The sequence below is a fragment of the Homo sapiens genome, chromosome 17 (genome assembly GCF_000001405.40).
Source record: "Homo sapiens chromosome 17, GRCh38.p14 Primary Assembly".
Classification (NCBI taxonomy): domain Eukaryota; kingdom Metazoa; phylum Chordata; class Mammalia; order Primates; family Hominidae; genus Homo; species Homo sapiens.
In genome coordinates, this window is record NC_000017.11 from 41,641,011 (window position 1) to 41,661,998 (window position 20,988).

General features: G+C 55.2%; 1 long non-coding RNA gene across 1 annotated transcript, besides 7 other annotated features; it reads right to left on the reverse strand.

Moving 5' to 3' along the window:
• Positions 6,267-14,124, reverse strand: LOC124904004 (uncharacterized). Its single transcript, XR_007065756.1, has 2 exons — positions 12,181-14,124; positions 6,267-7,904 (listed from the first exon to the last, which is right to left on the reverse strand). It is a non-coding gene; the product is annotated as an uncharacterized LOC124904004 (long non-coding RNA).
• Positions 6,365-7,240: an enhancer, noted in NCBI's record as "H3K4me1 hESC enhancer chr17:39803627-39804502 (GRCh37/hg19 assembly coordinates)". NCBI's record gives its function as "activates a minimal SCP1, AML or CMV promoter by ChIP-STARR-seq in primed H9 embryonic stem cells {active_cell/tissue: H9 hESC(primed)}" and the evidence as "EXISTENCE:reporter gene assay evidence [ECO:0000049][PMID:30033119]".
• Positions 6,793-6,942: an enhancer, noted in NCBI's record as "active region_12164". NCBI's record gives its function as "activates an Ori minimal core promoter by ATAC-STARR-seq in GM12878 lymphoblastoid cells {active_cell/tissue: GM12878}" and the evidence as "EXISTENCE:reporter gene assay evidence [ECO:0000049][PMID:35858748]".
• Positions 6,973-7,132: an enhancer, noted in NCBI's record as "active region_12165". NCBI's record gives its function as "activates an Ori minimal core promoter by ATAC-STARR-seq in GM12878 lymphoblastoid cells {active_cell/tissue: GM12878}" and the evidence as "EXISTENCE:reporter gene assay evidence [ECO:0000049][PMID:35858748]".
• Positions 7,531-7,640: an enhancer, noted in NCBI's record as "active region_12166". NCBI's record gives its function as "activates an Ori minimal core promoter by ATAC-STARR-seq in GM12878 lymphoblastoid cells {active_cell/tissue: GM12878}" and the evidence as "EXISTENCE:reporter gene assay evidence [ECO:0000049][PMID:35858748]".
• Positions 12,540-13,238: an enhancer, noted in NCBI's record as "H3K4me1 hESC enhancer chr17:39809802-39810500 (GRCh37/hg19 assembly coordinates)". NCBI's record gives its function as "activates a minimal SCP1, AML or CMV promoter by ChIP-STARR-seq in primed H9 embryonic stem cells {active_cell/tissue: H9 hESC(primed)}" and the evidence as "EXISTENCE:reporter gene assay evidence [ECO:0000049][PMID:30033119]".
• Positions 13,239-13,935: an enhancer, noted in NCBI's record as "H3K4me1 hESC enhancer chr17:39810501-39811197 (GRCh37/hg19 assembly coordinates)". NCBI's record gives its function as "activates a minimal SCP1, AML or CMV promoter by ChIP-STARR-seq in primed H9 embryonic stem cells {active_cell/tissue: H9 hESC(primed)}" and the evidence as "EXISTENCE:reporter gene assay evidence [ECO:0000049][PMID:30033119]".
• Positions 19,275-19,774: an enhancer, noted in NCBI's record as "H3K4me1 hESC enhancer chr17:39816537-39817036 (GRCh37/hg19 assembly coordinates)". NCBI's record gives its function as "activates a minimal SCP1, AML or CMV promoter by ChIP-STARR-seq in naive H9 embryonic stem cells {active_cell/tissue: H9 hESC(naive)}" and the evidence as "EXISTENCE:reporter gene assay evidence [ECO:0000049][PMID:30033119]".

Genomic DNA, 20,988 nt, shown 5'->3' on the forward strand with positions numbered 1-20,988 from the left:
ACACAAAAAATTAGCCGGGCGTGGTGGCGGGTGCCTGTGGTCCCAGCTACTGGGGAGGCTGAGGCAGGACAATGGTGTGAACCTGGGAGGCGGAGCTTGCAGTAAACCAAGATCGATCGCGCCACTGCACTCCAGCCTGGGCGACAGAGCGAGACTCCGTCTCAAAAAATAAAAGCTAAAAAATAATAAACCCCAAATATGTCCATATCTGAATCCCCAGAACCTGGAAATATGCACCTTATAGGGCAAAAAGGACTTTGCGGATGTGAGGCTGTGGTTCACAAGGGATCTTAACAGGAAGGAGACAGGAGTCAATGCCCGAGAAGGAGACATAACCAGAGAAGCAGAGGTCAGACTGACGCGCGGCCCTGAGCCAAGGAGTGCGGCAGCCTCCAGAAGCCGAAAAAGGCAAGGAACAAGTCTCTCCTGGAGCCTGCAGAAGGAACACAGCCCTGCTGACACCTCAGTCTTAGCACCCTAAGACCCATGTTGGACCTCTGGCTTCAGAATTGTAAGAGGATAAATGTGTGTTGCTTTAATCCCCCAAGTTTTTGATAATTTGTTACAGCAGTAATGGAAAATGAACGCACTCCCCTAGCTCATTCTAGCACCAGAGGTGCTAGCCTCTCACACTCGTGTTAGAATTATTGGGAGGCGGGGCCAGGCGCAGTGGCTCACGCCTGTAATCCCAGCACTTTGGGAGGCTGAGCCAGGTGGATCACCTGAGGTCAGGAGTTCAAGACCAGCCTGGCCAACATGGTGAAACCCCATCTTTACTAAAAATACTAAAATTAGCCAGGTGTGGGCCGGGCGCGATGCCTCAAGCCTGTAATCCCAGCACTTTGGGAGGCCGAGGCAAGTGGATCACGAGGTCAGGAGATCGAGACCATCCTGGCTAACACAGTGAAACCCCATCTCTACTAAAAAACAAAAAAAAATTAGCCGGGCATGGTGGCGGGCGCCTGTAGTCCCAGCTACTCAGGAGCCTGAGGCAGGAGAATGGCATGAACCTGGGAGGCGGAGCTTGCAGTGAGCCGAGATCGCGCCACTGCACTCCTGCCTGGGAGACAGAGCAAGACCCCGTCTCAAAAAAAAAAAAAAATTAGCCAGGTGTGATGGCAAGAGCCTGTAATCCCAGCTACTTGGGAGGCTGAGGCAGGAGAATCACTTGAACCCAGGAGGCGGAGGTTACAGTGAGCTGAGATTGTGCCACTGCACTCCAGTCTGGGCAACAAAGCAAAACTCCATCTCAACAACAGCAACAAAAAAAAAGAATTACTGAGAGGCGGATCTGCTCCCCTTCTCAATTGATAATCCTTTACAGCCAAAAGGTGGTTTTCTGTTCATCTTTGGACCTACTACAAGGTCTGACTCAGTGCTTCGTACACAGTAGTTGCCCTATTGATGCTTGCTGAATGGACGCAGGCAGTAAGAGCCCAGAGTTGGATTTCATTCAGCACCTAATTGTTGGGTTCATTGTGTGCAGTCACAGAGCTGGGTGCTCAGAATTCAGTACTGAGTCAGCCAAGCCCTGCCCTTAGTGAGAGCAGGCCGTGAGTGAGACACACACAAAACAGTTCAGTGCAGCGCAATGTTACTCGTGCAGTGACAAAGGTATGTGTGTACAGGCACCTTGGGAGGCCCAGGGAGGGAGCAACTCATTCAGACCAGGCCTCGGAGGATAGTTTCACAGGGAGGGACAGCAAAGCTGGGTTTCGAAGCCAGGGCAGCACTTTGCCAGGCTGAGAAGACAAGGTGGAAAATCGTCCAGGTAGACACGGGAATGCACCTGGTGTGTTTGGGGAACACCCAGAGACCCATAGCTGCATCAGCATTTCCAGGGGGATGCAGTAGGAGTGCTATGGAAAATGGATCTTGCAAAGAAACGCATTTCTTTATCTCCTGTTAGTTGAGCACCTACTCTGTGCCAGGTACTGTCTCAGTCTCTGGGAATAAACACCACAAACCACATTTTTGCTCTCGTGGAACAGACATTCTAGCAGGAGAAATGGGCAATCAACAAACCAGTGGATGGTCCATTCTCCAAGGAAATACAAAGGGGACTATGAGTGCTTCGAGAGGCTGGGGAAGGCCTCTCCCAGGTGACAGTTAAGGGGGGAACTGAACTATGTAAAGAGCCAGCCACGTGCAGGGAAGGACACTCCAGGCTGAGGTGACAGTTGGTCCAAGGGCCCTGAGGCTGGACCGAGGTATTCCGTTCTGGGGAACAGAAAGAAGAGCCTGTGTGGCTGGGGTGGAGTGGGCAAAGGAGAGAGTCAAGCCACATCAAGTCAGGAAGGGACAGGGCTGACCCTCAGAGCAGAGGTTCTCATCCCTGATGTATAGGGAGGTTCTCATCCCTGATGCACAGGGGCCTCTTAAGGCCCCTGTGGTGCTCTTAAGAGCAGAACTGAGAACCGTGATCCACAGCCCCATGGGCCTGGGAGCCTCATGTCTTCGACAGACAGTTTTTGTTTGCTTGTTGCACTGCAAACTTCTCAGAGCTTGGAACAAGCCAATGCACAGTGTGATGCTGTGTTTCCCAAATTCATATGGACATGGAGCCACTTCCAGGAGAAGCAGGTGGAGCTAGGGTTCCTGGGACACCATTTTGGAAATCTCTGGGCCAATTCATAGGTCATACAAGTGGAAGAAATGACTGGGACAAAGGTTGAAAAGGAAGACCACCATGACAGGGTGCTGAAGAGTTTGGACTTTATCCTGTATTAATAGGGAGTCATCCAAGCATGGTTGTGTGCTGTTTTGTTCTTAATGTGTCTATTTATATAGATTTTAATCAAACAAAAGGGATATTATCGATATCTCCAATGCTTCGGTCTCCCAGTTAATAATATCTCTTGGAAAGCCACCTCATTCTTTTTAATCCGTCATGACGATGAGCTATAATTTATCTACTTCGTCCCTGACAACAACCTCTCTGGTCTCCAAGGCTTTTTGCTTTTCCAAGCAATAGTGTCATAAACCTCCCTGGATGTAAAGCATGGTGAACTTTTGCAAATACATCTTCAGGGGAAAGTTTAGCAGTGGGATGACTGGGTTAAAGGGTAAATCCTTTTATACTTCGAGAGCCACTGCCAAATTTTCTTCCAGAGTAAAATGAAATGATACTTGGAGTTTGCTTTAAAGTATTCTTACTTCTTCCATAAAAACTGGCAGCGGGAGAGAGAAGAAATCAAAATGGCATCATGTTGACAATTATCAAAACCGGGTGATGGGCATATGGGAGCTCATTTTGCTATTCTCTCTACTTTTGTGTACATCTGGAATTTTCCACAGTTAAAAAAAAAGTCACCTTGAAAAGTTCTACAAATTATCACTTGCCCTAATCATGACTAAGAATATCTTTCCCCTTATACATCTACTAGCAATGACACCATCAAAGTTTGTTTGTTGTTGTTGTTTTCCTTTTTTTATCTTTTTTTTTTTTTTTTGAAATGGAGTTTTGCTCTTGTCACCCAGGCTGGAGTGCAATGGCATGATCTCGGCTCACTGAAACCTCTGCTTCCTGGATTCAAGTGATTCTCCTGCCTCAGCTTCCCAAGTAGCTGAGATTACAGGCACCCACCACCACACCCTGCTAATTTCTGTATTTTTAGTAGAGATGGGGTTTCACCATGCTGGACAGCTGGTCTCGAACTCTTGACTTCAAGTGATCCACCTGCCTCAGCCTCCCAAACTGCTGGGATGACAGGTGTGAGCCACTGCACCCGGCCTTTCCTTTTTTTTTTTTTTTTGAGATAGGGTCTCATTCTGTCACCAAGACTGGAGTGCAATGGTGTGATCACCACTGATGGCTCACTGCAGCCTTGAACTCGTAGGCCCAAGTGATCCTCCCACCTCAGCCTCCCGAGTAGCTCAGACTACACGTGTGTGCCACCATACCTGGCTAATTTTTGCATTTTTTGTAGAGATGAGGTCTCACAATGTTGCCCAGGCTGGTCTCAAACTGCTGGGCTCAAGCTATCCTCCTGCCCTGACCTCCCAAAGTGTTGGGATTATAGCTGTGAGCCACCATGCCTGGCCCTTTTGTCTTTCTTCATAGTTGAAACAGATCTCTCTGTTGCTTCAGTTTCCGTTTATTTAATTATGAGTAAAATTGAACTTCTGTTGTAGTTTGAATGTATCCCCCAAAGTTCATGTTTTGGAAACGTAATCTCCAATGCAATACTGTTGAGAGATGGGACCGTTAAGAGGAGATTAGGTCACAAAGGCAGAGATTAATGGCCTTATAGATTAATGCCATTACCAGGGGAGTGGGTTAGTTATTGCAGTTATGGAGGGAGTGGGTTCCTGATAAAAGGATGAGTTTGGTCCCCTTCCTTCTCTGTCTCTCTCTCTCCCCCCACTCCCCTCTCTACCCTTCCACCTCCTGCCATGGGATGCTGCAGCATGAAGGCCCTCGCCAGATGCAGCCCCCTAACCCTGGACTTCCCAGCCTCCAGAATTCTCAGAAGTAAATCTCTCTACTCTGTTAAATCACCCAGTCTCAAGTGTTCAGTTAGAGCAGCACAGAACAGACAAAGACCACATCCTTCCCTATATTTCGTGGTTGCTTCTTGTTCTCCTTCTTGTTTCTTAGGAACTGGCTGTTCCTATCCTTTGCCTATTCTTGTCTGCAGTCTTGGCCTTCCTGGTTTGTGTGAGCTTTTCATAAACATGGGAAGAGGCCTTGGCACAGGTGTTGTGAATGCATTTTCCCAGTTACTTTTTCATTTTCCAACTTTGTTTTTCGGTCTTTCTCCATACAGACAATTCCCTCAGGCCACATTCCTTCCTTCTTTTTCCTGTGTCTGGGCATCGAGTAGTTTGAAGGAGCTCTCTTTTGTGGCAGTGTGAATGCTGGATAGAGCAGAACTGGCCTCAGGGCTGAAGTGGTGGCCTGGGAGAGAGTTGTGAGGTGAGGATGGGACACCATGGCCAACAGGGAGCCAGGCCTGAGCTGGGAACAGCAGGATGACTCTGCATTTTCTGAGCTGAGTAACTGGGTGGGTGATGATGTCACTGACTAGGATAGGGAAGCTAGGACAAGCGGAGTTCACGGAAACACAGCAATTCCCCTCTATGGGGCACGTCTCACCCTATGTGGTTACACCTGCTTGTATACCTGACTCCCCTTCTAGACATGGGACAGGGACCCTGCCTCCTTCTCTCTGTCCCTGGAAATGGCCATAGCAAAGAGTGCCCAATAACTGCAGATATGAATAAATGAATGAACAAATTAATAAATGAATGGCTCCAGCACTTTGGGAGGCCAAGACGGGCAGATCACTTGAGGCCAGGAGTTCGAGAACAGCCTGGCCAACATGGCGAAACCCTGACTCTACTAAAAATACAAAAATTAGCCAGGTGTGGTGGCACATGCCTGTAATCCCAGCTACTCGGGAGGCTGAGGCAGGAGAATCGCTTGAACCCAGGAGATGGAGGTTGCAGCAAGCCAAGATCACACTGCTGCACTCCAGACTGGGAGAGAGAGCCAGACTCTGTCTCAAAAAATAAAATATGTCCGGGTACGGTGGCTCACGCCTGTAATCCCAGCACTTTGAGAGGCTGAGGCGGGCAGATCATAAGGTCAGGAGATCAAGACCATCCTGACCAACATGGTGAAACCCCGTCTCTGCTAAAAATACAAAAATTAGCTGGGTGTGGTGGGACGTGCCTGTAATCCCAGCTACTCAGGAGGCTCAGGCACGAGAATCACTTGAACCCAGGAGGTGGAGGTTGCAGTGAGCCGAGATCGTGCTACTGCACTCCAGGCTGGCAACAGAGTAAGACTCCATCTGAAAAATAATAATAGTAAATAAAAATAAAATAAAATAAATGTTGCTGGGTGCAGTGGCTCACACCTGTAATCCCAGCACTTTGGAAGGCCGAGGCGGGTAGATCACCTGAGGTCAGGAGTTCGAGACCAGCCTGACCAACATGGAGAAACCCCGTCTCTAGTAAAAATACAAAAAATTAGCCGGGCGTGGTAGCGTATTCCTGTAATCCCAGCTACTCTGGAGGCTGAGGCAGGAGAATCGCTTGAACCCAGGAGGCAGAGGTTGCACTGAGCCAAGATCACACCATTGCACTCCAGCCTGGGCAACAAAAGCGAAACTCTGTCTCAAAAAATAATAATAAAATAAAATAAATTTTAATTTATTTTAAATAATTTAAAATTTATAAATTAAATTTTATAATTTTATATTATAAACAGATTTAATTATTTAAATATAATTACAAATAAATATATAATTAAAATTTAATAATTTTAAAATAAATTTAATTTAATTTAATTTAAAAATCAATGAGTAAATGGCTTGAGTGTGTGGTCCCTCTGTCCAGGTGGAGATGCTGGGAGGTGGAAGGCAGAATTCACAACCGAAGGGATTTTCTCCTCCCTAGTCGCCTCCCCCAGTAGTTGATGGCGGCTGCCACACCTCAAGCCAAGCAGGGGACCTGGCAGTGTTCACCCGCCAGCTGCGTGAACGCCCGTAACTCTTTACGGCAGAAGACCAAGGGTGCGTCTGGTCCTCAGAACTGCAGGATGCACCGGCAGCGATGGAGAAGCCTCCTTGGATGAGGCAGGGTGAGGAAGGAGACCAGACAAGCAAGTCCTCCTCCCAGAGGCAGGGACAGGAAGCAGGAGCAAGGGGCCACCAGGGAAGCTGCAGGGGCTAGAACCCAGGGAACTTTCTAGAAAGGCTAGCTGGCCCTAACAGACCCCTGGCCTGGAGGAAGACCTCCAGGGCAGGTTAGGCGGGCCAGTCACATCTCCGGGGGTGATTTAAAAGGCACCACCTTGGGACAAAAGGATGGAAGCATTGACCAGACAAATGCCTGACCCGGCAGCAGCAGAAAAGGATGCATGGAACCCTGTGGGGTTCCCACCTCATGAGGTCGTCTCTCCTCATTCTTGTGCTCGGTGGCTCCCAAGGGGCAGGCTCTAGTGCTCCCCATGGAGACCCCAGGCCCAGCCGCCTTCCAAGGCTCATGCCCTGTTAAACGGGGACACGCTCCGGCCGCCCGGGATCCCCAAATCTGTAGCAGGAGCGCCCTCTGCTGGCCATCTTGGGTGGCGCCTCTGCGCTGCAGTCCCGAGAGGAGCCCGCGAGGCCGCGGGAGGAATGCAGGGACCCTGGAGACCCATCCTCCACCTGCGCTCTGCAAACTACTCCTTCTCCCCCAGGGTCCTGGCTCCTCCTCGCCATCTTCAGCTTCACCGTCTCTAGTCCCTTAACAGCCAGAGCACCAGGCCCCGGCTGGGCCGTGTGTCCATGCCTCTGCCTCCAGGCGCATGGACACAACATTCCCTTCTGAAGCTGGCCTGCGCTGTGTATCACCCCCTATCCCCCATCCCTCCATCTCAAAAAAGCCCTTCCCTGCCTTTGGCACGTGTCCCTCCCCCACGCCCACCCGCTCAAGTCCCTCTGTTAATAAACTGCTAACCCCAAAACCAGCCTTCCCTCCAGCTTGCCCGGCCCCGAGTCTGAGGGTCCCTGGAGCAGACACGCTCCACCCGCGGGGACCTCTCCCTCCTGTCAACTCCTGAGGAGCGGCAGCGGCTTCTGGGCTTCCCACGCGGGGTGTGACACCAACGGGGGACATAATACAAACGAACGAGGGTAAAGTCCGTGTGCACACCTGTGCATGGCCACATGCGGATGTGCGTCCAGGCGTGCCTTGCAGGTGTGTGGGCAGTGACTGCGCCCACCCCTCTGTCGGGTCTCGCCACGCTTAGCTGGGTGGGCTCCTTCCAACCCAGGCTGGGGCTGAGCAGGAGGAAGCCGCGGCCTCGCCCCCAGAGGGCAGCACTGAGCTGTTCTGGCCCGACTGCTGCCAGACTCTACCCGGAGAGGAGTCCTGAGTTTCCCCGTCCAGGGCCTGGGGGAAGGACTTCAAATCTGTAAAGGAAAGCAAGGAATCAAATCCCAAATCCAGGCTAGCGGTTACACTGCGGGCAGAGCGCGAGGCGCACATCGAAGCTAAAATGTCCAAAATTGGGCAGTGGATTCACGGATGTTTGTTGTGCTTTTATTCTTTTTTTGTTTTTTTCTTTTTTTTTTTTTTTTTTTTTTTTGAGGTCGAGTTTCACTCTTGTCGCCCAGGCTGGAGTGAAATGGGGTGATCTCGGCTCACTGCAACCTCCACCTCCTGGGTTCAAGCGATTCTCCTGCCTCAGCCTCCCAAGTAGCTGGGATTACAGGCGCCTGCCACCACGCCCGGCTAATTTTTGTATTTTTAGTAGAGACAGGGTTTCACCATGTTGGCCAGGCTGGTCTCGAACTCCTGACCTCAGGTGATCCGCCCACCTCGGCCTCCCAAAGTGCTGGGATTACTGGCGTGAGCCACAGCGCCCGGCAGTGCCTTCATTCTTAAATCCTACACATATTTTGTAAATATTATTTTGAATCTATTCAGTATTACTCTTTTCAAAATAAAGGCCTCCGAGCCCTCTCTAGAATGTGGAAAGACCACTCATCGCTCAGTGGAGCAAAGTGAGCCTACAAGCTCCCCAGATCGCCCCCAGAACCCCCAGAATGCAGAGGGCTCTGAGTGTCTCTGGGGTTGCCTGTGGCTTTGGGGAAGGGGAGAGCCTGGACCCAGGCTTCTTTACCGCCCGGAGTCCCGGGTCAGCACTCCTGCAGGATAAGCCACACATCGACACGCAGCTCACACACACACACACACACTTCCAGATTCATACACAGGTGCATGCTCACAGGTTGACACACACATGCTCAAAGACTCATACACACACGTTCACACATAGCTCACATGCACATACACACACACATTGAGACTCTCAGACACACACAGACTGATACACGTACATTCACACACAGCTCATACGAACATTTACACTCTCAAATTCACACACAGGCACATGCTCACAGGCTGACACACACTCAAAGACTCATATACACACATTCACACACAGTTCACATGCACACTCACACTCCCAGATTCACACACAGGCGCATGCTCACAGATCGATACACACACACTCAAAGACTCCTATATACACATTCACACATAGCTCACAGGCACATCCACACACACACATTGACACTCTCAGACATGCGCACACACAAAGACTCACACACACACGTTCACACACAGCTCACACACACACTCCCAGATTCACACACAGGCGCATGCTCACAGATACACACTCAAAGACTCATATACACACATTCACACACACATTGACACTCTCAGACACATGCACACACAAAGACTCACACACACGTTCACACACAGCTCATACACACACTCACACTCCCAGATTCACACACAGGCACATGCTCACAGGCTGACACACACTCAAAGACTCATACCCATTCACGTGCCGCTCACATGTACATTCACACACATACACTGACATTCCCAGACTCACACACACCAGCACATGCTCACAAACTTCCCCATACTCACAAACTTCCCCATACTCACACTCACACTCATAGACTCATGTCCACACTGTCACCCACTCATGGACACACGCGCAAACTTTCACATTCACACAACCTCTCACGGGTACACACCTTACACACTCACACAAAGACGCCATTGCCACTCTGGCCTGTTAATCTTACATCCTCATCAGGAAAGAGGAGGGGCTTGTATCCTCCCTGATTGCAAGAGAGATTTCTAGAATGTTCCCAGGAGACCCCAGTCCCAAGGTAGAGGGATATTCCTCCTGGACTGGAGGAAGCAGAATCGGGGCCAGGACTGGGCCTCAGAGGAACTCCCCGGGCTTCCTGTACCCACTCACTAGCTCATCCTCTCACTCCCCAGCCCATACGTGGGAGAGCCTGACCTGGGGACATGACAGGGGACACACAGCAGGCCCTGATCTTGGGGAGCTCCTGGACCTCACGAGACACCGTGGAGACCTGTGCAGGCTGGCCTGTGGGAGTGCCCATGAGGGGTCCCTGACCCAGCCTCAAGGCAGGACAGGTGGGGAAAGGATCTGAGCAGGTCCAGCACAGCAGGAGACACAGGAGATGCCGGCCTTCCAGGCAGGGTGATGGGCACATGCCATGGCAGGGGGCACCCTCAGGGAAGCATGAGATGTCCCAGGCCAGGGGAGCTGGCTGGAAAGGCAGGGGGTGGGGGCTGGGCCTGGCAAGGTGAGCAGGGGCCCACCTGGGAGAGGCCCACCTGGGAGAGGCCCTGCGTGCCACACGAGGGAGCGGGGCCTTGCTCCTGAAAGCCACAGGGAGCCCTGATTAACTGCACAGGACAGGAGAGGACACAGCTGCTCTGCAGAGGCACACAGCTTGTACCCAAAACCTGCAGGAGGGCAGGTGGTCCTCAGCCTCCATTCCAGGAGCAGAGCAGGCCCAGGAGCCCACCACTGGTCCAGGGAAACCCCCCACAGGTACAGCCACGTTCTTCCCTGATTCATCACAACGAGGCCCCTGTAAGTGACAGAGGGTCGGTCTGTGCAGACCTGGAAACACACGGCCCCAAGACCTGGGATCCTGAAGAAGCAGTGCCAGCTCCTCCCAGACAGCCCGCCCCAGCTGGCCCGCTGGCTCCAGCCCAGCCAGGAGCGAGGGCAGTGGGGGAGCCCCACAGGAGGGAACGGGGGCTCAGGAGGCCTGGTGGGGCAGAGCTGGGACAGCTGGGCGAAGGGGCTGGGTCCTGGCTCCGCGACGAGGGCCCATTCCTGGGTGAGGGAGGGTGGGGCAGCCCACACATTCCAGCTGCTGCCGCTCCCGCCAGCCAGTACCAGCCTGTTCTCGCCTGTTCCCACTAGGTCCCAGGCTGCCCTGGGCCCAGCTCCCAGTGCCAGCTCCCAGAATCCTTCAGGGTTCAGACTCTAACTACAGGGACGCCAGTGCGAATGTCCAGAAGACCACCCCACAGAAACAAGTGCCTCCCCCACCAACACACATGCACACACACACCCCACCAACACACACACACGCATGCATGCACACACACTACCACCAACCAACACACATGCACACACACAAACACACACCCTACCAACACACACACACACCACCAACACACGCATGCACACACACTACCACCAACCAACACACATGCACACACATACACAGACACACACCCTACCAACACACATGCACACACATACACACACCCCACCAACACACACGCATGCACACACATACACACACATACACACACACTGCACACACACCCCAACACACATGCATGCACACACACATGAACCCCACCAACACACATGAACACACACTCACATCCCAGCAACACATGTCTGCACACATGCACACACACACGCCATCAACACACATGCACATACACACACACAAAGCCATCCTCAACCACAGGACACAGACACAGAGCAGGGTTTTCAGGAGCTGAGGCACTTCCTTCCACTGCAGGCAGCACCCAGCCAGGACAAAGTTCTATCCTCTTGCCACAAGGCCCTGGACAGAGAAGCAGGGAAAGCAGCCAAGGTCCCCAGAGAGCCCCTGGAATGGGGCACCCCAGAGCCAGCCCCAGGGCTCAGCCAAAGAAAGCTGGGGAAGTGAGGAGCTGCCCCCAGAAAGAGGAGCCAAGGGGTCTCTGCCCCAGCCTGGGACACCTCAGCCAGGCTTGCCCACCACTGCTCTGCAAGGGGCTAGGTGGGGCCAGGGGGCTGCACCTGCTCTGGTCCCTGCCCCCCAACCCAGCTGCCTGGAGCTCAGCCTGCCGCCCTCACCGTGGAGGCTACGCTAGATGCCCAGGACCAGTGTCCCACCCCATCCCTCAGCCTCTGCTCCCACAGCCCTGCTGTCACCCTTCCTGTCCTCCCTGCAGGACAGAATTCCCACGCCCACCCTGGGCCCAGGGCCAGGAACTGCTGGTTCCCACCAAGGCTTGGGAAGTGATTTCTGCAGACCAAGCCACCCTGGGCCCACCCTGGGCCCATCACAGGTTCCCAGGAAACAGCTTGGCCCTACCTGCTGCGAGGCATGACAGAGGGGACCAGCCCTGGGCTGTGCTCAGAAATGCTGAGGCCTCAGAACTGGGCAACAGGGAGGCAAGGAGGTCCCCCATGGGTGGTTGTTGGTGTGATTGAAATGCTGGCTCTACCAGTAGCCCTCCAGGAAGAGGCTAAACAGTGAGCAAGGTCCCCAAATCCCAAACTTGAAGTTTCCTTCCCCAATCACCATCCAGGGGCCCTGCCAGACTCACAGACAGTGATGGAGAAGCTACAGCGCTAAGTTGGGGGGTCCTGTGGTGGAGAAGATGCAGGTCCCAGCACAGCTCATCTCAGCTCCCAACACACATCCTCAGTCTCATGGTCACATTCCATCCACCAAGAACCCAGGGACATTCAGCTAGGCTTGGTGGTGTGCACCTGTGATCCCAGCTACTCAGGAGGCTGGGGTGGGAGAACCGCTTGAGCCCAGGAGATCAAGCCTGCACGAGCTGTGATGGCGTCACTGCACTCCAACCTGGGCGACAGAGTGAGGCCCTATCTCAAAAATAACAAAAAAAAATTTTAATTAAGTGAAAAACAAAAAGCGCCCAGGGACATTGGGAAAGGGAGTTCCTACCCCCACTTTCCAGGAAAGAAAACAGAGGCCCAAAGAGAGGAAGTGGATTGTGGGAAGAATTTCACTGCAGTAAGTGGTGAGGACTGACCTTGGCCAACCCCATATAGACCCCTTCCAGACCCAGGTGCCAGTGCAGACAGCCCAGCTGGGGTGTGGGGGACACAGGGCCAAGTGGCAAGGTGTCAGCAGCAGTCCCCAGAGATGGGCACCCCATGGGCACAAGTCCGCACTCACAGCCTCTACTCCAGGGCCCCATCTGGCACAGAGCTCCAAGCTGCTTAGGACAAAGGCATCCCTTAGAGGCTGGAGGCAGCAAACAGAACGTGTCCCTCTGCTGCTTCCTGGCCACTGCGGGGCCCTCACCACCACCTCAGCTCTCAGAACATCCTTCATTCTGCCCCCAGCATCTACTGAGCAATGACCAAGACCAAAGCTCCAAACCACAGACTGCCTGGGGCCTCGGCCTCCAGCTCTCCAACTGCAGAGGCAAGAGCAGAGTGTGAGGAGGGGGTGAGGAGTGGGCACCCCAATTGCCCTGGCCACTGTGGGAGCTTGGGCTCTAGCAGGCTGATCTCCCCCAGCCTGCACCCCACCCAGCAAGGACATGCAAGCCAAGCAGTTCCCACACCCCGTTCCTGGTGGCTGCCAGAAGCTTCCTTACAAGGCCCCAGCGCTGAGCTGGCTCAGCTGCAGGCGGGGGCCTGGGTGGGGCACAGCACACCTGGCTCAGCCAAGCCCAGACGCACCCTGCAAGTGAGGAATGCGGACGCCGCCCGGGCTGGCCCTGGGAAAGCTGCTGCCCTCGGCTCCTGCCCAGCCCTGACTCAGCCTAGGTGGGCCAGGGAAGCTGCAGCCTCAGCAGAACCAAGTCTCCCACCCCACCCTCCCCGCTGGCCTGCCTGGGATTGAACCAGGGGACAGGTCCTGGCAGGGGACTGAGAGTAGAGACAGCACCCCCTGGCCTCAGGACTTGGGGGAACAGCAGGGACTCTGTGGGACCTGCCCTTCTCCTGCACTGTCTGGAGGGTGCCAGCACAGCTCTGTCCGGGGGGGCTGCCCACAGCACATTTTCCCAGATGCCTGAGCCTCAGTTTCCTCATCCGTAAAAGGGGGCTAGTGACATTCCTGCCCACAGTGCAGGGCTGCAGTGGTGGAGGAGGTTCCCGGGAAGCATTTGAGAAGCAAACAGACCTCTTCCTAAGAAACAGAAGCGTCTGCCTAACCCCATGAGGCCAGGTGATCCCGTGCTCCATGCAGAAGAAACAGAAGCGTCTGCCCAGCCCCGTGAGGCCGGGTGGTCCCGTGCTCCATGCAGAGCAGGGTGACTCCATCATCCTCTGTCCCTGGCCCCAATACGGTTATTCCAAACTCCCCAGGACAAGGGCTGTGTCTCCCCCTCCGACTAGGCGGTCCCTGAAGGCTCGGGGCATGTCTCCCCTCAGACAAGAGGCTTCCCAGGGACAGAAACTCCATCCTCCTTGCTCCATCGCCCCACAGTCCCATGCCCTGCACTGCGGAAACCACAGGCCAGTGAAGGCCAGAAAAACTGCCCGTCCCCTCCTGGCGCCACCTTACCCCAGCCTCCCCAGGCCCTGACATCCACCTCCTTGCCCACCCAGCCAGCCCCCAAACGCGACGCTGGAGTGCCTCACGGTGCCCACCCAGACCCTGGGGATCAGGAGGCAGAGCCCCCCAGGTCTGGCGCTGGTAGAATCTCCCATCCCTCCCTGCCTGCAAAGAAAGGGCCCACTGGCCTCCCTCCCTGAGCCCTCCCACAGCTGGGCTGGCCAGAGAGAACTTTCTCCCTCTGCTCTCTTTCTCTGCTGTAGTTCAAGCACAGACCCTCTCACCCCAGCCAGCCCTTCTCCACCTTCCGGGCGCACAGTCTTAGGGGTGGAGCAGAGGCTGAGGTTGGGGGCCTCACAGTCAAAGGTGCTGAGACAACAGCCCCGCTGCCCTGTGCTCACTCAGAAGCTCCTGGGGAACTGGAGTGGAGGGGAAGGGTCCCCAAGCCCACAGGTTCTGGCTGCCCCTGCCACGTCCCCTCCCCCAGCCAGGCTTCTCCCAACTGCGGCAGGGCGTCTGGGCTCAGGTTGGGGTGCAGCGTTGGCAGGACAAACAGTCTCCAGTGTTGGGTGTTTGCCTCGGTTACCAAGGAGGGAGGTGAGGGGCCTGGCTCCCTGCCATGTTTGGGCCCCGGGCTGAAGGTGTGGGTGGCAGGGAAGGTGGAGGATTTGAGGTGGGGAGGCTCACTTCCCGCTCCCAGGGCTCGAGGGCAGGGCAAGCCAGCTGGGACTGCCAGATCCCTGGGCGGATTCAGACCTGCATCGGCCCTGCCTTTCTGCTGGCTCTGGGAAACTCAGTCAGGCAGGAGGAGACGCTGGGGGCGGGGCAGCCTCCCTTGCTGCTCAAAGCAGGGCTGTGGGCTGGAGGCTGGGCCCCGGCAAGTCAGGTACTGCCGTGGGTGTCCCAACCTTCCGGGACTGACGGCACCACGGCCTAACTCAGGCCGCCCGGGAGAGAGGCCTAGGAGCCCAGCTCTGGGCCCATGAATTTGGACAAGTCACCGCCCCTCTCTGGGCCCCAGTTTCCCCACCTATATAGTGTCAGGAGCTGGCCTGTGTAGTCCCACAGGGGCCTCCTTTGTTTTGTCCTCCCTGTCATGAGCTGGGCAGGTGGATGCTGAGGGGTTGAGGAGTTGGGCACTGAGCCGGGAGTTGTGACCCGGCCTTGAAGCCCTGGCTGGAAGGGCTCAGTACACATCCAGGCGGCCCTACTGCCCTGTCTGAGGCTGGCATGCAGTGAGTGCCCGGCTGAGTGCAGGAGCCCAGGGCTGTGGTCAGGAATGGCCGGGCCCTTTCTCCCTCTCTCAGCAATGATGAGAGCCACAGCCCAAGGAATCCCCTGCTGCCTCCTGCTCCCAGGTCTCCATCGCAGCCTCAGCATGACCGGCTCTGAGCAGGAAGTAGGGGAAGCAGGACAGAGGCTGGCCTGGCAGTCAGAGAGTGCACAGCCTGGCTCAGGAGGCTGGCAGGTCATCAGGGGCATAGAGCTGGCCCTCGTTGATGGGGCAGGGATGGCTTGGGGAGGGTGGAGACGCCGAGGCTTGAATTAGGGGGTGGGGGGTGCAGGTAGGGAAGAAAGGAAGAGGACTTGAGATTGTGACCAGGCAGTGCCACAAGGAACACAGGAGTGTGGGCCTTCCATGGGGAGGGAGGAAGGTGAGGCCAAAAGATGGCGGGGCAGGGGAAGGGACCACTTGCCTTGCAGCCCGGCCAGAGAGAGCGAGAATGAGCAGTTCCCACACCATGAAGACCTTTGCCCTGGCCCTGCTGGTGGCCCTGCTGTGCACAGAGAGACCCCAAGGTCTATGCTGCCACCAGTGCTTGGTGGCCCCAGCCTGGCACAGGCATGCCTGCCCCGCTGCCACATGCCCCTTCCCTGACAGGGTCTGCGTCTCGGGATATGAGAGACACAGGGAGTCTGGGTCCCTGTGGCATCTGGGAAAGTGAGAGTGGGGAACAGGCTCTGCCTCCTTTCCCTCCTGCCCCAAGAATGATACCATCATTTGGAATGTGGAGGTTCTGGACACCTCTATGAGTTCCAAGCTTTCTTGTTGCAAGAGAGGCCTCTGTAATGCGGGGGTCCTGGTGGCAGGCAGCACCTGGGCCCTTCCTTGGGACTCCTGCTCAGCCTGGGTCAGTTCCCCTCTGGGCCCTGCTGTGATGGCCTTTCCTGTCCCCCTTACCCCATGGCCCCCTCCTCTGTCCCCATGCATAGTGTCCTCCTCAGTTTGGGACCACTTCGGCACTGACCCTCGGGAATTCCAGTGTGGTTTTGCAGCCGCGCGTTCAGGGGAAGGATGTGGTGGGGCAGAGGCGGGGGCTTCCCTGTCAGGGGACTCTGGCACCGGGCGGGTCCCTGCGGCAGACTTGGAATCCCTGCTTGGACTCATCCTGTTACCTGGGCCCAGGGCCTTCAAACCCACATTCCCTACATCGCCACCTCCTTAAACCACCCGGCCTCAGAGCCAGGGGCCTTGCCATTTGCTGTTCTGAACCTGGAACCACAGGAAGAACACAGGCCAGGGGCAGGAGTCCAGGGTTCCGTCCTACCCAGCCATTAACTTAACACGGAGCCAGGGCCACACAACGCACCACTCCGGACCACCTCTGTTCAAGCAAGGAAGAAACCCAGGGCTCTGGAGCCCCTCAGGCCTCCCACACAGGGCGAGAGCTCCCCTGTCTCAAGGTCAATAAACACCCCTCTGCTTACTCAAAAAAAGACAGAGAGAGAGAGAGAGAGAGACAGCAGGGTCCAGTCTCTGAGGGCCTTGCGACCAGGCTGAGACATGGAATGGGGGCCAGTGAAGGGCGAAGGAAAGGACTGAACCCCAGCAGGAGCGACTCAGCACCCCACACACAGACACGGTCTCTGGGCCCTGACCACGGCTCCGGACACCCCCAGGAAATGCTGAGACCTAGATCTCTGCTTTGTGTGCTTTGGATAAGCGCATGAGCTAATGCCAGTCTGATCCAGACCTGCCCTCCGAAGCTGCAAGGTGGCAAAACAGAAGAGGCCTGCCCACACAGGTGCACCAGCCACCAGAGGACTGGGTGTGGGGCTGGGTGGCCAGCAGCTGAGGGTCCTAGGCAGGGCAGCAGGAGGGTCGGCCCTGGGGCAGGGAGAACCGAGGGCCCCTTCCCCCGCTACTGTGCCACTTGCCGCCTGCAAACAGGGAATCCCAGGAGGCCGGATCTTCTCGCTTTGCACCCAGGAAGCTAGAACTCTGGATTTGTATGGGAAGCCTCCTGATGCTTCATATTTGGAAACTAATTCCAAAATAACACCCTGTGCAGGCCAAAGAAAGCAAGGCATTCAGCCAGCCTTGGAGCTCATGTGGGCTGAAGGACAATCTCACTCAGGACCCCCTTTACAAAAAAGTAAAGTGAGGCCCAGGAGGGATGGGCTTGCAGCCAGTTAGGATCAAGTTGGGCCGAAACTCAGGCCCTGACTTTCCTGTGCTCTCCCCAACAAGGTTCCCACCCCCTCACCTGCTCCACCGTGCAGACCCCAGCCCAGCTGAAGAGCGCCCTCACGAACCCCACACACACCCAGCAGGCTTTTGCTCTGCACACGCCTGGGTGCCGAGGTCTCCCATACCCTCTGACTGATCTGACCTGGCAGCTGCCTGAATTGTTTTCCCCATTTTACAGAAAAGGGAAATTGAGGCCAGAGAGGCAGGCCATTGCCCAGAGTCCTCCTCTGCCAAGTTCTAGACAGTGGGGAGGGGGCTGTGTGCCCGCTTACAGGTCTCTGTAACTCAGGTGGCAGGGAGGCCCCAACTTGCAGGGCAGGGAGGGGCTGGCAGGGATGAGGCAGGGCCAGGCCAGGCAGGCCCAGAGCCACTCAGCATGCAGGCCCAGTCCAGAGAAGCCAGGCCTCTGCCTCCCCCTCCCCAAGCCTGAAGAGGAACTCAGCAGGGACCCAGATGGCCTCAAGGCCGGGGATGAACCACAGACAAGAGGAGGTGCCACCCGGGCTAGAGAGAACCAGGGGAGGGCAGGGCACTGAGGACCACACGGTGGCCGTGCCCCACACCCACTCCCACCCAGGGACCCTTGAGTCCCACTTCTAGCCCTGGGCCACAGCAGGGGCATTGTAATGCTGGCCTTTTGTGTGCTTGGGGGTGGCGGTAGTAAGGAGAAATGCCCCCTCCAGGTGGTCAGTGCCCCAGGCCTCCTGGAGCACCCCAGAGATGGTGAGGTCGAACCCATGGGTTCAGCACCTGCCCTGTGCCAGGTCCCATGTCAGGGGGACACAAGAATTAATAGGACGTGACACAAGAATGAACAGGACCTGGTTCTGCCCCGGGTGGCTCACAGTCCAGGGGGAGAGGAGAGTGAATAAATAAAACTCAGTCGAGTTGAAATTGACCAGGGCCTTCACCGCAGACGGTGGGCAGGGGGAAGAGAGGCACCCTGGGGAGGGCTCCCAGCTGTGGAATAGGCATGGGACTCTTCCTGGAAGTTAGTTCTGGTCTTTTTCCATTTTTTATGCAGAAAAATGCACATATAATTGCTGTACAACTCAGTGAATTTTCACAGACTGAACCCAACTGTGTAACCAGCACCCAGATCACAGCACCCAGATCACAAGGTTGTCACAGGGACACAGGGGAAAGGGCATTCCAGGAAAGGGCCACTGAGGAGCGAAGGCAGGGAGGTGGGAACTGCCCAGCCCCAGCAGGTACCCAGAGCCAGGAGGATCCAGCAGGCCTCTCTCCTCACCCAAAGAGGATGGGTGCTCAAACTCCAGACCTGCTCCAAGAAACATATCTGCAGCCCTAAAGCCCCCAACGCCCCCAACCCGCTGTCCTGTCCACCTTCTCCGCTCCACAATCCAGCCTGCGCCTCGTACTGCACCAGAGAGATATGCTAACCACATGCAAAGGTATGCAAATGAACACAGACTCCCTGAGTCAACTTGGGCAGTAGCCAGAGTGAGTGAAGAACCAGACCTCCAAACAGGTGACTAGACCGGCCCCTGCCCCTGGCCCCATTCCTCCCACCAGCTCCTGAGCACCACAGCCCTGCACCCCCACACCCTCAACCCAAAGCTCTGACCACCTGCCCTTCCCTTCATCTATTCATTTAACTTTGATTCTCAGGGGGCCAAGGGCCAGTCCCCAAAGTGAGCACCAGAGAGCTGAGCACCTGCCCACCAGGAGCTCACAGTGAGCAGGGAAGGGGAGGGGATGCAGACACGGCCACCAATTCCCAGGAAGAGCCTGCCTCAGGACAGAGCTTCCAAGCCTCAGAACAGCAGGTGCTGACTCAGTAGTGTGGGATCTGGCCCAACACTCTGCATTTCCCACCAGCTCCCAGCGGACGCCAAGGCTGCGGGTCCCAGGCCACACCCAGATTAGCCAGGAGTAAAGGAGGTGTGAGAAACATGGCCCTAGGAACACGAAGGGCTGGGGGACAGGCAGGGCAGGAGAGTGGCTAAGAGATGTGCCTGGATTCAGGTCCCAGCTCTGCCTCCTGCCCATCGTGGCCGTGTTGCTTCCCATCCCCCAGCCTCAGAGCCCTCAGCCCTAAGGTACCCCCTGTAACAACTGCCCCCACGTCACCAGGTCCCAGAGGCTTCAGTGAGACCAACTGGCCTAGGGCCCCTGTGGCACCTGACACCCTGCAAGCACTTGGTAATCGGGAGATTATTTTTAAGTCAGGGTCGACTGGGAAGAGGCACAAGGGACGTGTTTGGGGTGAAGGGAATGTTCTCTGTCTTGATTATGGTGGTGGTCTCTTGGAAGATGTCAAGGACAGGGGATTCACCAGGAGGAGGGACTGCAAGAGCAGAGGCCTGCAGGTGTGGACATGCAGCCAGGGAGGACAGATGACAGCTAACCTTCACTGAGTGCTTTCTACAAAGTGGAAGACAGCCAGGGGCCACAGTCGGAAGGACAGAGTCCCACCCCCCACCCCCCACCCCCACTCCAGGGGTGGCAGGAGGGTGGAGCCATGGAGCCTGGCTGTGAGCTCCTGGGTGGGCTGGCAACACCTGCCATGAATTGGGCACCTATTAGCAGTCAGGCACTGGTGTGAGACTTTACCTAGTCAGAGCCCGCCTGTCTGTCTTGTGTGGCCCCAAGAGCTAAGAATGATTTTCACATTTTTAGGTAGTTCTTTTAAAAATCAAAAGAACAGGCTGGGTGCAGTGGCTTGTGCCTGTAATCTCAACACCTTGAGAGGCCAAGGCGGGAGGATCACTTGAAGCCAGGAGTTTGAGACCTGCCTAGGCAAGAAAGCAAGACCCAACAACAAGAAAATGTTTAATTAGCCAGGCATGGTGGTGTGTGTCTGTAGTCCCACCTACTGTGGAGACTGAAGTGGGAGGATCATTTGAGCCCCGGGAATTTGAAGGTGCAGTGAGCTATGATCGTGCCACTGCACTCCAGCCTGGGTAATAGAATAGGATCTTGTCTCTAAAATAAATAAAATAAAGGAAGAAGACAGCCAGGCATGGTGGCTTATGCCTGTAATCCCAGCACTTTGGGAGGCCAAGGTGGGTGGATCACTTGAGGTCAGGAATTCAAGACCAGCCTGACCAAAATGGTGAAACCTCATCTCTACTAAAAATACAAAATTAGCCGGGCGTGGTGGCGCATGTCTGTAATCCCAGCTACTTGGGGGCTGAGGCAGGAGAATCGCTTGAACCCAGGAGGTGAAGGTTGCGGTGAACAGAGATCGTGCCATTGCACTCCAGCCTGGGCAACAAGAGCGAAACTCCGTCTCAAAAAAATAAGTAAATAAAATAAAGAAAGGAAGAAGAACAATACAGTCGATCCTCCATATCCATGGATTCAACTAACCACAGATGGACAATATTCCAAAAATCAAAATTGTTTCTGTACTAAACATGTTCAGACTTTTTTTTGTGG